Below are 16,734 nucleotides of genomic sequence, written 5' to 3' on the forward strand. Positions count from 1 at the left end.
AGTGCAGTGGTGTGATCTCAGCTCACTGCAACCTCCACCACCTGGATTCAAGCTATTCTCCTGCCTCGGCCCCTGAGTAGCCGGGACTACAGATGTATGCCCAGCTAATTTTTGTACTTTAAGTAGAGATGGACTTTCACCATGTTGGCCAGGCTAGTCTTGAACTCCTGACCTCAAATGATCCACCCACCTCAGGCTCCCAAAGTGCTGGGATTGCAGGCATGAGCCACTGTGCCAAGCCTCAAATCCTCACTTCTTTTCAAAGATTTTTTTTTTTTGAGATGAAGTCTCACTGTTGTCACCCCGACTGGAGTGCAATGGTGCGATCTCGGCTCACTGCAACCTCCACCCTCTGGGTTCAAGCAATAGTAGGACATCCTAGTATTTGTGACAATGTGGATGAACGTGGAAGTCATGCTAAGTGAAATAAATAAGCCACACAGAGAGATAAATATTACATGGTCTCACTTATACATGGGATCTGAAAAAGTCGAACTCATGGAAACCAAAAGTAGAAGAGTGGTTACCAGCAGTCAGGGGGTGAGGAAAATGGAGAGATATTGGTTCAAGGGTACAAATTTTTAAATATAAAATGAGTAACTTTCTGGAAACCTAATGTAGAACATAGAGACTCTAGTTAATAATAATGTATTGTGTACTTGAAATATACTAAGAGAGTAGATCTTAAATATTTTCACCACAAAAAACTCAGGAGGCTGAGGCAGGAGAATTGCATGAACCTGGGAAGCAGAGGTTGCAGTCAGCCAAGATTGTGCCACTGCACTCCCAGCCTGTGTGACAGAGTGAGACTCCGTCTCAAAAAAAAAATGCTATGTATGTTAATGGGAATGTTAATTAGCTGGGTTGTGGTAATCATTTCACAATGTATACACATATCAAAATATATTGTACACCTTAAAGACATAATTTTTACTTGTCAATTATATCTCAATGAAGCTAGCCAAAAAAAAAAAAAAAAAAAAAATGCATCCCAGCCTTGGGCAGTGGTAGACAGTGGATTCAATGGTTAATAGGATGATACGGCTGGGAATGACTCTCAGAAACATGAGGACTTGGTTGGATGGCTAACCATCCCCAGTCAACCTCGTAAAGAGGAAGGCAAGAGGCCTGGAGCCAGACCCCAGAGTTAAAATCCCAATCCAAAGCAAAGTCTCATGGCAAAACATTGGTTGATATCATCTTTCTTTCTTTCTTTTTTTTTGAGACAGAGTCTCATTCTGTCACCCAGGCTGGAGTACAATGGCACCATCTCAGCTCACTGCAAGCTCCGCCTCCCGGGTTCACGCCATTCTCCTCCTGCCTCAGCCTCCGGAGTAGCTGGGACTACAGGCACCCACAACCATGCTCGGCTAATTTTTTGTATTTTTAGTAGAGATGGGATTTCACCGTATTAGCCAGGATGGTCTTGATCTCCTGACCTCATGATCCGCCTGCCTCGGCCTCCCTAAGTGCTGGGATTACAGGCATCAGCCACTGCGCCCGGCCGATATCATCTTTCTAGAGCCAACGACAAGAGCAGCACTTATTTCCTGTACCATGAATTTGTGGGATGATTCAGACCAAATTCCTCAGCCCTCTTCAGGACATTTTGGCTAACTGAGGTCTTCTTGTCATGTTGGAGAAAGGGAGCAAGATGGGGATTCTGCACAACTCAAGCCCCAACATGTGGGGACAGACTCAAGTAGATCACCACTGAGGCTTTTTGTGGTAATGTGGATACTGGGAAGCCTGAGGAAGGCTGTGGCCACAAACAGGCTCATTGAATTTACCCCTTGAAATCTGCACAGAACTTGGACAGCTCACTCCCCGATGAGCCACCACATTTATACCTGCAGCTATGACCTTTCTCTTGAGCCTCAGACCCTTATATCCTCCTGAGCACTGGTTATTTCTACTTTGATATTTAAAAGGCCCCTGAAAACTAACTCCTCTGAAACTGTTCATGTGGACAATTGACGTGTCAGAACCAAACCTTAGACTTCTCCAAACTTACTGTCCCTCAGTACCCCTTTGCTGTGAAAGCAACATCATCCTGACAGGTGTTCAGAATACAGCTTTGTGGTATTTCTTGACTTATTCCCTGGTTGTCTCTTCTCCATCCCATCAGCAAAGCCTCTATCCCTACCTTCAGGATGTGCCTGTGTCTTACCACTTCTTTGCCTTCATGTGTTCTTGGCACCATCACTTCTTGACAGGATGACTGTGGCTGCCTACTAACAATATTCCTTCTCCTGCCCTTGCACCCAGTCTGTGCTCCAGCCAGCACCAGAATAGCCTCCCAGGTCACTCCCCAGCTCAAAACCCCAATATATTTCCACTCATCAGAGTAGAAGCCAAATTATGCCCATCACCCATGAAGTCCAGGCTGAGCTGGCCACTGGTTATCTCTCTGATCTAACTCCAGAGCTGGGCCTTCGCTCACTCTGCTCCAGTATAAAAGGTCACCTTGCTGCTCCTTGAATGCACGAAGATGCATCTGCCCCAGGGCTTGGCATTTGCTCTTCCCTCTGCCTTGAATTGCTACCCCTGATACCCAAATGATGGTCTCTCTTCTGTTCCAATCTCTGCTGAAATGTCACCTTGTCAATAATGTCTTCCCAGATCACTTGTAGTGATCATCCATTAGGAACAGTGTTGACACCCACCCCCAAACCACCACCCCCTATTAACTTCCTGCCCCATTTCTCTTGCAGCCCTCATTATCATTCAGCATGCCAAATACCATCCTTATTTGTGTATTTCTCTCCTTCATTGCTAGATTGTAAGTTTGATGAGGGCAGGATTTTTTTCCACTTTGTCACTGCTTTATCTCCAATGACTCTTACAGAGTAAGCACACAGTAAATGCCTGTTAAAAGAACGATTGAATTGCATGAGGACAAAGAAACTTTTATTTTACTGTCGTAACGCCATGACTTCCTCCAAATCTCCATGTGGATCTCTATGCCAGCTTTTTTCTGCCTCTACTTAATTTTCTCCAAGACCTTCCTTGGAAATATCTGTATGCTTAGGAAGTTTTAATAGTAAAGAGTGGAGTAACAGCTAAAAATAAAATAAGTTATGAAATATACCTAGCAGCCATGAAACCTCAACTTATAAAATGCAGAGGCCAGATTTGTTACATCCTCATCTGTTGGGGGTGGCTGAGGAGTTGGTCTTTGTGTGGCCTAAATCAGAACTTGGATGGCAAAACTGACTAGCTCAAATCTCAGGCTAGTGAAATCTGCAGGAAGAGTGGGTAAGGCTTGTGAAAAACGTACCAAACTACAGAAGCAGGGATGCCAGCGGAAAGAGATTTTTGATTAAAGAATGCAATAGAATGCTGAGGCCTCTAGAAGAGGCAGGAGTGAATCTCCTAGGGAAATTAAGACATTAATAACAGCTGTCTATGTGGGATATTTGGAAAAATAGTGCACACATAGGCCCATGGAAGGTGTATGTCCAAAGACCATAAGCATTTACATTAGAGTGATTAACAAAGGTCTTCCTCTGTGCAGAGCCATTCTTCAAAGATTGGGAGAGGTGGCCATTTAATCCAAATTGCAGTTTTCAACAAAAACTTACAAAGCATATAGGAAATGGGAAAACACGCATAGCCCATTCAAAGCAAGAAAATGAATATCCAGACTCATCTTTGAAAAAACACAGGTCTCAGACTTACTAAATTAAGATTTCAAAACAGCTGTCTTAAATATGCTTAAAGGGCTAAAGGAAAACACAGACAAGGAAATAAAGGAAATCAAGAAAACAATATATAAACAAATAAGAATATCAACAAAGAGATTGGAATTGTAAAGAGAACCAAATAGAAATTCTGGAGCTGAAAAATAGAGTAACCTAACAGAAAAATTGACTAGAAGGATACAAAAGCAGACTTGAAAAGGCAGAAGAAGGAATTAGCAAACTTGAAGATAAGTCCATTGAAACTATCGAGTTAAGGAGCAAAAGATAAGAGTGAGAAAAAGTAAACAGAGCCTAAAAGACACCATGCACCAAACACATATACATTATTGAAATCTCCAGACAAAAGAAAGAGAAAAGGGCAGAAAAATTATTTGAAGACGTAGTGGCCAAAAACTTCCCAAGTTGGAGGAAAGATGTAAATATACAAATCCAAAAAGTTCTGTGAATCCATGTTGGTTAAACCCAAAGTTACCCATAGTACATTCATGCATAATTATGTAGCATTTGAAGATAAAAAATTTTGAATGCCTTTTATAATAGCATCCAAATACATAGGGATACATTTAACAAAAGTGTGTAAGAAGACTATAATGAAAACTAAAACTTTGCAGAGAAAAATAAAACTACTGTTAATAGATAACTTCTTTCCAAATATATCTATAGATGCAATGGAATACCATTCCAAATTCTAGTTGGTTGTTAAAAATAGAAACTAACAAGCTGATTTAAAAATATATATGGAAATTCATCCTAGAATATATAAAATATATATGGAAAAAACAACCTAGAATAGCCCAAAGAATTTTGAAAATGAAGAAATTTAGAGACATTACACTACCTGACTTCCAGATTTAAGATAAAGTCACAGTCTTCAAGATTATAATGTACTGGTGAAGACAACACAATAAATCAATGAAAAAGATTCCAGGAATAAACCCACACATATATGGTCAAATAATTTGTTCCACAAAAACCCAAAAGCAATTCAATAGGAAAAGAAAACAATTTTTTTCAAAAAATAATGTGGAAACAACTAGATATCCATATGAGGGGGAAACAAACCTCAACCCTTACTTCACACCCTATATAAAAATTATTCCAAAGGGATCATAGGCCTACTCATAAATAAAGTAAAACTAGAAAGCTTTTAGAAGAAAAACTAGGAGAATATCTTTATGACTTTGGGTGTGGACATAAATTTGTTAAGGAATTGACAGAAAGCACTGGCCACATTGTTTCAAAAAAATTGAGTTCATTAAAATTTAAGTCTTCTAACCATCAAAAGACACTATTAAGAAACAGGGAAATCTCAGACTGAGAGAAAATATTCATATGTATCTGTCAAGGGACTTATGTCAAGAATATATTTTCTAAAAGTTGCTACAATTCAATAATAAAAAGACTAATATTTAAATTTTAAAATGTATAAAAGCCCTGCCCTCCACAATCTTCAATTTATAGCAGAAAGCAAGGAACACACACACACACACACACACACACACACACACACACATACAGCCTGCTCAAAGTGAGTCTGCCCTGGAACATGTGGGAAGCTGGTCTAGCTCTGCATAAGAAGTGAACACTGTATAAACTGACTTAGTGGAGAAGGTCATCTGAGAGGAAATGAGCCCTGTGCACTGAGCTCTGAAGAGCAGGAGGGCTGAGGTGGTGCAGGGGATGGTGGTGTTTGTGGGACTTAAAGTAAGATTATCTGGAATTATCTGGGTGGGTCCAATCTAATCCCAGAAGTGCTTAAAAGCAAAGAACTTAGCCCAGAAGCAGAAGACAGTTGCATGCACATACTACAGTTTGGTTATTCACTTCCCAGTGGATGGACATTTGGGTTGTTTCTAGTTGCGTGCTGCTGTAAACACTTTTGTGCAAGGCTTTTTGTGGACATGTGTTTGCATTTCTGTACATGTTGTGAGTTAAATGGAAGAGGTATGTATAAATGTTTTAAGAAACTTGCAAACAGTTTTCCAAAATGGTTGTATCATTTTACACCATACAGTAATGTATGAGAGTTGCTGTTGTGTTAGTAGTGATTAGCCTTTTTCATTTTAGCAATTCTGGTAGGTCTATAATCATGTCAGGAGGCAATTTTGATCTGCACTTCCTTGATGATTAATGATGCTGGGCATCTTTTAATGTGCTGATTTCCCATATATCTTCTTTTGTAAATTGTCAGTTCAAGGTAGAGATTTTAGCATATGGTAAATGGGTCACATATTGGGTTCAATAACGAAGATGTGGAGGGGTGGGTCTAGAGTTTTCTATTTTAGATGCAGTGAGATTATGCTGAGCTCAGTACAAAGTGAATCTTCCCAGAGAATATCCTGATTTGGACCCCACCAAGGCTACTAAGACACAGTTGTGTAATTGACTGAAGCACAAGCTGGCCAGAGCAGTGTGGAGATGGAGATGCCGTCTGCGCTCAAGTCTAATGATGTAAGGAAAGGAGGAGCTTCCTTATGAGAGTACTTTCCGTTCTCAGCAACTCTGAGCTTAGGTTGGTGATGGGCAGGAGTGAGCAGAGTTCAAGTTTGAATTCTTTGAAAGGTAAAAGAAGCAGGGATGTTCTGGAGATGGTGAGCAAAATGAGAAAAGCTCAGAAACTTGGTGTTGAAATTGGACATGGCCAGGGGGCTAGAGGGAGGAAGCAAATGGAAACCAGAGGGAATTGGGAAAAAATGCCAAAGTGGGGCCCATGGAGTTGAGAAGACACATAGAGTACCTTCGGGTTCAGTTCCTGGCATGGCCGCTGAGCCAACTTCCCCACAGCCATGAGATCCACTGCTCAGAGACCCGCTCTCCACCCCGTATCCCCTCTAATCACTGATGGGCTCATACCTAACATGGCTATACTTGGATAGTGCATGGTGCCTGACAGCTTTACAAGAGTTGTCACGTAAGCAACAGTGGTACATTGCTTTTCATTTATGCCGAGTTTCACAGTTTAACTTCCCACAAACATGCTAACTGTGATTTGTGCAGAGCATAATTATTTCCATTTATAGAGGAAGAGACTGAGATTCAGAAAGATTCTGTCTTGCCCAAGAATACAGATCTTGGCAGAGCTGACCATAAGGCCAAAGGAAGCCATGGAGATCGTTGTGAAGTGTGGGAATTGCTGCAGGTGACATCTAAAAGGAGATTTATTGAGGATCAAGGCAGAGGTCCCCAGAGGACAAACTGTGCCTCTGATTCCTTCCTGCTGCTTTTCTTCCTGGCAGAAATAGATGATTGAATTCATCTTTCTCCTGGCACCTTGTCTCAGAGACTTCCCTTGCCACAGTTCCAGACCCATCCAGGCCATGACTGCCATGTAGATGACACACCTCTCTGCTCACAAATAACTGGCCAAGCCTGAGGTAGCCACGTTTTGGAGCATTGATAATATGGGCTTTTCCTGTGTTGCCCCTAAACATGTTGTTTCATTTTGTCCCCTTGTCATGGGGTCTTCACAGAACTCCTGTCTTAGAGGATAAGGAAAGGCTCTTGCTCTAGCAACTGTAGACACCGGTGTGCGCTAAAGAGGGAGGTGAACCTTCGTAGAAGAAGGAAAATTGTTTTGGAGAAGGGGATTTTTGGATCAGTGCTTGTGGCTCTGACTCTCTTTCTGAAAGGAACACCCAAGAATATGAGGATTTTCTGTATCTAGAGCTTGAAGACTAGCCTTCTCCAGTATTTTGCGCTCTTCCTTAAATGATCACAATATAGTCTGAGGTCAGCTTTCTTCAAAAAGGAATGACCTTACAGGCAGAGAAGATAGCTATAGGTGGAGACTGTTACCTCATACTGTAGACTCAGATGTGTAGGATAGGTTCAGATCCAGCTGCCAAGCTCAATTTGGAGTACCTGCCATTCTTGGTACTGTTCATTCTGAACTATAGATTTCTTTGTCTGCTTCTCTAAGACATCTTTCTGGCTTGTATTTAGTGCTTAGCACACCAAACCACTGTCCTTCAATTATGATAACAGTGAATCATTTCTGTGTGCTTACTATATACCACGTAACTTAGTATACAGCCTGTAACTCATACAAGTTAAGAATTTTTTTTCATTTTGTCATCACAACCAGTAGGTGAGGTACTTGCCTGCTTTTCTCACTAGCTCTGACCACCCCAAGATCATCCCTGCATGCTTTTATGACCACAACCCTTGCTGTTTCGTGGATTGGCCTGAGTGTGAGCGGTTCCTGTCTTGTGTTCACTCTCTGCTCTGGAGAGTCAGCTGCTGTCAACAAGTTTTCTTCTCCACCACCTCTCCAATTCATCTTACCCATACTCAGTACTTCCCTGGGCTGAAGCCAAGCTCTCCCAGGCAGCCTGGCTGGGAGCTTTGCAGTCAGGGGCTCCAACGACTTGTAGCAGTGAGCTGCTGATACCACCCACTGTTCGCTGATGAGGGAGCCACCACAGAAGTGCTAACCAGCATTCAGGGACACCTGGTAGGGGAGAGAATTCTCCTCACAGGTGTAGCCCCCAATGATCTTGTCATCGTCGTCAAAGGGGACAGCAACTGGAGTGGAAATAGGAAGGGAGAAGTCAGTAGTATGTTAGGGGTGGCGCTCCCAGCCTGCGGTTGCTTCCTGCTAATTAGAAATCCTTAATAAGCACAGTGAAGGCAGGCAAGAGAGGGAGCGCTGCCACCCCACCCCTGGTGAGCATCACTGGATGTGGCTCCCAAGTCTCTGTGTCTGCAGGGCACTTAGGTACCCTGCGGGGGTTCAGATCTCCTTACAGCCCAGCCTGGGAAATATGCAGTGTCACCTCCACCACAATCCAGCCAGCTCGGATTCAAGCAAAGGGCACTCATGGGAAGATGACCACTGGCCAGTGTGTTTCATCAGGCTGGCATCTTTGAAGACCAGATACCACACCGACCTCCAGTGATCCAAAGTGCTGGGATTACAGGCATGATACCACACCACAGTCATTTGAATTTGTCATTACTTGGTACTCTTATTTTTTTCCCTGCTGCTCTTTTTGCATTGAAGTCCTTTTGGGATGACGTCAATAAAACTCTTTCATGTTTTTAAGATTGTATTTGTTTAGTATTTCTTTTTCAACCTTTCTACATGTAGCCTTTTTGTTGTTTTTATTCTTCAGGTGGGTATTTCATAAGCATTGTGTATTTTTTCAGCCTCATGATTTATACAACTAGAATCCTTAGTCCATTGTCTTAAATGTATTTCTGTATAGTTTTCTATAGTAGGTGATTTCCTTGGTTTTGAGTTATGTTTCTTATTTTGCTTTGTACATTAATTTTTCTCACATTTTGGTTTCTTCTTCCCTTGTCCATGACCTTATTTTTGTTCACTATTTTTGTCATTTCATTATTTTGCCTTTCAGAAGTCCACAGTTCTTTTCATTTTTTCATGATTAACTGTAACATTTTATTATATAATTATGTTAAGAAAATCTGAGATTAGTCTTATCGTTACCCTTCTCCTGAAGCCTATGCGAACTTTGGAACAATTAACACCTATGGTTCCCTTCATGATTTCCAATATTTTGGATAATCAGAATGCTAGGTCTATCACAACTAGAAGTATTATTGTTTTATTTTACCAATACTTAATTACAATTACCTATCTATGTGTTAACCATCATCTTTAATCGTCACTGTTTTTGCACAAAACTTTACTATACCAACTCAGAGCAGAAAGAGGATCCATCATATTCTGTGTCTGCCCCATTAAGCATGCTTCTTTGCTGCATGGTCTTTGATTCCTGGTAGCAGATTAATCCCAGGCAAAGATGTAGAGCCCTATTATGGGCTATCAGACCCCAATACCATGGCTTTTCTTGTGCCACAGCCCTTTGGTCCCATGCCTCTGACTCTAACTTCTATCTCCTTTTCCAACAGTTCTCATGGATACTGAAGTCCCCCAGACACCAAGAAAACTGGTCACATTGACTAATTTTAAGAGATGGCATTGAAGTAGTCTCAAAAAATGAAAAGTCATAGCACATACTAGCTGTTGACAATGTATGGCTTGGGCTATGGCAAACCCATAACACAAATGGAAGTGTCAAGGAAGAAAAACCGCCATGAGCATTAAGGAACAAAAGAGTATATTATAGGAATTAGGCCTGACACAATTTGGAGAGAAGATGGATAAGTGAAAGTTTGAAAAGGGTCAGAAAACACAACTCTAACCAGCTCTGGTGAAGGTGGATGAACTGGACTTTGCATTAAGTTTTGCATTAAGTTGGGTATATCCATGCACTACATGGAACCCTGAAGGGGCTGGTGTAGGAATCTATGGAAGATGGCTGACTCTATGTGCCAACAGCCCTGTGAGTTCTCAGACAAGTTTGGTAGTGGGACTGTAGTCCCTCCTGGTCAGCAGGGCTGGCAGTCGGTATAAAGAGCTGGATGTGAAGCAGGGGAAAGTCAGCATAAATTGGAACTCACTGGCACTTTTGATGCTACTCCTCACTGCCTGGAGCCAGTGATGACTTCAGAACTCAGTGGCAGCTGTTTTACTTTCCCCTTACAAACTTCATGCATTTCTTCCCTCATGTTCAACTCTAACCCAGAACCATACTAGGAAAAAAAGTTATCTGAAACACATTCCTTGCTTAGCTAGGTTGACACAGTGATAAAACACCACAGGAATATCCAGATGCTCCTTGACTTGCAGTGGGGTAATATCCTGATAAATCCAGCATAGATTGAAAACATCATAATTCAACTTACAATATCCAGCTTATCTGTACATAACCCCATCATAAGTCAAGGAGCACACTGAAATGCATATTGCTTTTGCACCATTGTAAAGCTGAAAAGTCATTGAACCATCATGAGACCATCTGTACCTGACAATTAGTGTTTCTCAAAATAAATAGGAAGATTTTCTTCCGATCTGAAGGTCTTCCAGCCACTCCCTCCCAGACATATCATAATATTGGGCCAGAGGTCACCCATAGCAAGCTGTCCTTACTTACTCTTTGCAGAAAAAGTACAGTTACAGTATGAAGTGGCCTCATTTTAATGAGGCCCAACATACCCAAGAAATAAAAATGCAGCCACAGGAGCATACAGATGCCCTTCAATAGATATGTCAATATTAACATAATGCAATAGCTATATTTGTTATAAAATGATTTCACTATTGCACAAACATAATATGATGGGCGAAGTCTTAATCTTATCTTTTCTAGCTACCTATGCCAGAGAAGTAGAACTAAATATTAAATGAAAGCACAATTGGGAGGCTGTTATAAAAATGAAAACATAGGGCTTTCAAAACAACTTTCCAGCTCCTTGTAATTGCTACACATTTTCAACGTCAATCCATTAAAACAAGTATCCCAGCATGTTCAAATCAAAGAATTTCTTATGCCTCCTAGAAACTAGTTTCACTGTCCAGTACTTAGTATGACCTCCATTACAAGAGAATAAATGTAACTAATTATTCTCACAACCTCAACAGTGATTAACACAGAAACATACAAGCTAAATCGAGAAATGTTATTAGAATGTTTAGAATTAAGTCCATCTATATGTGAGGGAAATTGTCATGAGATACTCACGAGGTAACTATCTCATTTAGAAAATGACGAAGTGGCTTCAACATGATTATGAAGAAACATTGGACTTCCAGCCGAGGCACTGGCCTGGGCATTATCAATATTTATGGTAGTGCCAACCTGTAGGTCTAGTGATTAACAACCATGAGTTGTCTTGGTGTAATTACTTTGAGGATATGAAACAGAAGCAGCAGACTCCAATGCCATTCATTACCCAAACATACACTCCTTTCCTTACAAGAAACTCGCTTAAGTCATTGCAATGCTCTACGTCTCAGTGTATCTTTAATAAATTTGGAAGTTGAATTGGGAAATCTTTAGGCCACTTTAGACACTGTATGGGTTTTTTGTTTTCTTTTGAGACGGAGTCTCATTCTGTCGCCCAGGCTGGAGTGCAGTGGCACGATCTCAGCTCACTGCAACCTCTGCCTCCCGGGTTCAAGCAATTCTCTGCCTCAGCCTCCCGAGGAGCCGGGATTATAGGCGCCCGCCACCACGCCTGGCTAATTTTTGTGTTTTTAGTAGAGACGGGGTTTCACCATGTTGGCCAGGTTGGTCTTGAATTCCTAACCTTGTGATCTACCCGCCTCGGCCTCCCAAAGTGCTGGAATTACAGGCGTGAGCCACCTCGCCGACCTGTATGGTTCTTTGACAGGCAGAGAGATGGATGTAACACGGGTCATGAGCAAAGATTACCACCAGGGGGCAGACTAGAGCATCCTTGGGATTCTGTGATCAGTCATCCCTCCTCGCTGGTGAATGGAGACAGTGGTCACAACTCTCCCCAGAGAAGGTGGTGTGGGGCCATCACGGAAGATGCTGCTGCTTCTGCTGCTTCTGGGGCCAGGTATGAGCCTCCTTCTACCTGGGAGCTTGGGTGGGCATGTGCGTGTGTTGCCATGGTCAAGCGGTGGCCAGGCAATGTGGATTGTTTATGCTCATCGAAGGGAGAGGGAGCGGCCCTGCTCTCTAGAGGTGTAAAGGGTAAGGTGAGAGCCGCCAGTCAGAGGAGATAGGGGATTATAGCCCTAGGGAGATGACAGGAAGATTGCACAAAACAAACAGGATTCTCCAGGAGCTGGGAGCACGGGGAGGGAGGGAGGCTGAGCTCGGCCTGGCATCCTGTCTGACTCGGCTCCCACTGGGCTCTCCTCTCTCTGGCTTCTGTTTCAGCAGGCTCCGGGCTTAGTGCTGTCGTCTCTCAACATCCGAGCAGGGTTATCTGTAAGAGTGGAACCTCTGTGAACATCGAGTGCCGTTCCCTGGACTTTCAGGCCACAACTATGTTTTGGTATCGTCAGCTCCGGAAACAGAGCCTCATGCTGATGGCAACTTCCAATGAGGGCTCCGAGGTCACATACGAGCAAGGCGTCAAGAAGGACAAGTTTCCCATCAACCATCCAAACCTGACCTTCTCCGCTCTGACAGTGACCAGTGCCCATCCTGAAGACAGCAGCTTCTACATCTGCAGTGCTAGAGACACAGCGCCAGGAGGGGATCAGAGACCGCGGCAAGAACCCCTGCAGCTGCTCCTCCACCCCAGCAGGCCCACTGAGTGCTGAGAAGGGAGGCGTGGAGAATGGAAAACCACAGCTTTCCTGACTGAGACATCTGGGAGTGTGTGTGCAGGGGGTGGGGCAGGGGATGGGTAGGGGGAGAAAAAGAAAAGAAGCACTGTGAGTGTGGAGTATGGAGGAGGTGTAGTGTTTGAGACCCACGAAATGGCAATAGAGTTGGGCCTAAAGAGGTAAGTGAACATGGAAAGTTCCCTGAAAATTATAAAACCTAGAATTTTGCCCTGACTCTGCCACATTAGTCATGTGTTCTTGAATAGATCTACATATAATCCTAGAGGTACATATGAAGACAGTTGTATAACCACTGTGTACTTCCTATAATAAACTTCAGCAATTGGCTCTCTTTCTTGTCATCATGCTGGGCTCTCAAGACAAAGATAACCAAGAGGCAGCCAAGTAGAGAGTTATGCATGAACACATTACCTTAGGGGAGGATGGCAACAGCATTGAATAGCATCCACTCCAAATTTGTGTTCTGTCCTCCTTGGACCAGGACCACGAAAATAAAATCCTATCACATTTCCTGTAAATGTTGAATGCCATCATGTTCTCCACGGTGTTTCAGTTGATGAATGAACAGGGTAAGACTCGGTACAAAGGGAGGGGAGCACCTCTATGCCTAGGTACACACCATACGGAACGTATCCCTAGGGAAGGTGCTGGTGACCTGGCTCCTGGGAAAGGTGTCAAGGGAAAGAGGGGGCAGAGGTACCTAGAAGGAAGACCTCAGACAACATGGCTTGTCTAAAGAGTTGGAAAGTTCTGCCAGTAGCTAGAAGACAGTAAGTGGAACAGTGAAAATCCTTTCCTAGGAGAAACCAAACATTTACATTGACCACAAATCTGTATGAGCCAATAGAAAATGAGCAAAACATATGATCATACATTTAATAGAAGAAACATGTATGACCAATAAACATATAGAGATATTTTACTTCATTGATGATCAGGATCCAATGATACATAGCTTTATATCCACTTGATTAGCAAAATATAAAAAGTCTAGAAATATAAAATGTTAGCGAGGGTATGGATTCATAGGATTACTTATAAATTACTGATGGGAGCATAAGTACTATAAACCACTGGGAAACAGTTCAGCATTATCTCACAGTTGAAGATTCCTATATCCCATGACTCAGCAATTCCACTTCTAGATTTACATCAGGAGAGGCTCTTGCATACATGACTCAGCAATTCCACTCCTAGGTTTACATCAGGAGAAGCTCTTGCATACACATATCAGAAGACATAAATACAAAAGTGTTTTCAACAGCACCAAACAGTAGAAAAACATGGCACCAACCCACATATGCACTGAAAAGAGTGAATGAATAAACTGCGGCATATTCATATGAGTCAAAATGAATGAACTATAGTGAAGAGCAAGGTTATAGGTGAATCTTAGCAATATAATAGCAAATGTAAAAACTAAGCCTAATGAGATGATGCAAAGTATAACGTGCTTTTCATAAAGCTAAAAACAAGTCAAGAAAGTAATTTTCAGGACTAAAATATATTAGATCAAATTATATTGAAAAGAAAGCAAAGACCACTTGTATGCTGCAGCCTACCTTATCAGCTCATGGGAGCTGACTGTATACATCTTTCCCAACTCCAGTTTTAGTGACATCATTTTGTTAGCTTGAAACTGGCCATAGTGAGGGTATTTACACTACAGAAATCAGCAAACACAACAAATTACGCTTTGCTTTATTTTCCTCCAGAGAGTTAGTTGTCAACCCTTTACCAACACACTACTGGCAGGGAATAATAATGACCCAAGTTCAGGATTTTTATAAGGCTGGGGCATGGCAGGAGATAGAATGAGAGAGAACTACACAGCTATACATTTAAATATTCTAAAGGTCTATCTTGCATAATGTTGAGGAGGAGATATTTTACAAGTTCCTATTATGTTTTTAAATAAGTAATTATTCATTGACAAGAAAGTCCTGTGTGTTATTAACCACAGGTTAAGATAAATAAAATTGTATGCATATAGAATCAAAAAGAAGAGAAAATAAAACAAATAAATGAATAGATTAGAGTTCTTACAAGAAAAGGATTAAGAACATTTTATAGTCAAAACCAGGAGTGAAATAGCAGTGGGTCACCTGCTACCATCCTCATATAGACATCGGCTGCTGAACTAATCACAGCGGACAACCTACCACCCAACAGACCTGGACCCTTGTCAACCCCTTTGCAACAGAGAGCAGGGGTTTAGACACTAAGGGTGAACGTGAAAGCATGGAGATGACGCCTGGCCCCTGACCAAGGTGGAACTGCCTGGAATAAGATGGGAGCAAATTCCGCAGTGGACACGCTGCTGCTTTTCATCTCCACTATGACCACGTGCTGCTGGTGGTTAAATACCCCACCTGGGTTCAGTCACCTCAGACTGTGCCATTGTCACTGAACTCAAGGACCCATTTTAATTGTAGCCTTTTACTCTGTTCGTGCTTTCAGCCTGGAGAACAGAGCTAGTAAAATTCTTTTAAAATATTCCACCGCTTCACTAATGGCATGGAAAAGACAAGAGCTTTTAAGGCTCTGGCATGAAATAGGGAGACAGTTGTTACATTCCTATTTCATGCAGTCACTATTTCCCTCTACATTAAGCTGAGGAGTGTAGTGTTTCAGTGACATTTAGCATGGAACAGTGCTGGGTTCAGACCTGCCTTTCCCAAACAAGCTGACTTGTCAGGACACAGCCCACTGCCTACCTACATTACCTTAGGAAAGAAGACAACAGCGTTGAACAGCATTCAGTCCAAATTTGTGTTCTGTCTTCCTTGGACAAGTACCAACAAAATGAAATCCTATCACATTTCCTATAAATTTTGAATGCCATAAACTTTTCATGAGCAATTCTTTTTGGAGTGTTGGACTTTCTGTTCTGATTTTATATTCTACTCTTTGGGCTTTGTTGTACTTGAAATCAAGTTCACCTTTCAGAGGCAGTGATGGGTGAGGTAAGAGATAGACTCTTACATCTTCCTCCCCAACACACACACACACACACACACACACACACACACACACACACACACACACAGAGGCACTGTGTTTCCCAGTAACGGAGAAGCCATGGGGAGAATTTCAGAGGTTTTTTTTGAGATGGAGTCTCGCCGTGTCGCCCAGGCTGGAGTGCAGTGGCACGATCTCAGCTCACTGCAAGCTCTGCCTCCCAGGTTCACACCATTCTCCTGCCTCAGCATCCTGAGTAGCTGGGACTACAGGCGCCCGCAACCACGCCCGGCTAATTTTCTGTATTTTTAGTAGAGACGGGGTTTCACCGTGTTAGCCAGGATGGTCTCGATCTCCTGACCTTGTGATCTGCCCACCTCAGCCTCCCAAAGTGCTGGGATTACAGGCGTGAGCCACTGCACCTGGCCAATTTCAGAAGTTTTGAGGGAGCTAGGGTTTTCTAATTCTTCTATATCCTTGGATATCTCCATTCTTAATGTCAAAAATAATCTCTGGAGCTGGTTCCAGGAGTCTCAACCCATTTGCTACAGTACATGCACCATCTCAGGTGTCCAAAGGTGAATATTTGATTAACTACTTCACAGCTTCATACCCCTGCTGCTGTTTTTCCATTCTGGAATGTGGAAAGCAGTGTGACTCCTATTAACTGACCAGTAGTCAATTTCAACTACCCATAAATATGTGAGTGTCTTGTATCTGTAATCCCCTATCTGGTGCCATTTTTGGAAACCAGTTAAGACTCTTTTATCCTAAAAAAATGAACTATGTTGCATTTCTGGAAAGTAATTATTGATGAAATACTCCCTGGAGAGTCTGAAGCCCCTGATATTGTATATTTAATGGTTATCCTCCTTTTAATAAAAGGTATGGGAAGAAATTTTAAATATTATTCCTAAATACCTTACATCGAGATGA

At 42.2% G+C, this 16,734-nt stretch overlaps 2 pseudogenes, besides 3 other annotated features; one reads left to right on the forward strand and one right to left on the reverse strand.

The window, feature by feature from the left end:
• On the reverse strand, nt 8,068–8,229 carry PRSS3P4 (PRSS3 pseudogene 4; annotated as a pseudogene).
• TRBV20OR9-2 (T cell receptor beta variable 20/OR9-2 (non-functional)) lies at nt 12,065–12,728 on the forward strand (annotated as a pseudogene). The gene is given in 2 exon segments: nt 12,065–12,095; nt 12,425–12,728. Coding segments are annotated over 2 exon segments (335 nt in total).
• Nucleotides 12,729–12,735: a recombination feature (RSS heptamer).
• Nucleotides 12,736–12,758: a recombination feature (RSS spacer).
• Nucleotides 12,759–12,767: a recombination feature (RSS nonamer).

The sequence above is a fragment of the Homo sapiens genome, chromosome 9 (assembly GCF_000001405.40).
Source record: "Homo sapiens chromosome 9, GRCh38.p14 Primary Assembly".
Taxonomy (NCBI): domain Eukaryota; kingdom Metazoa; phylum Chordata; class Mammalia; order Primates; family Hominidae; genus Homo; species Homo sapiens.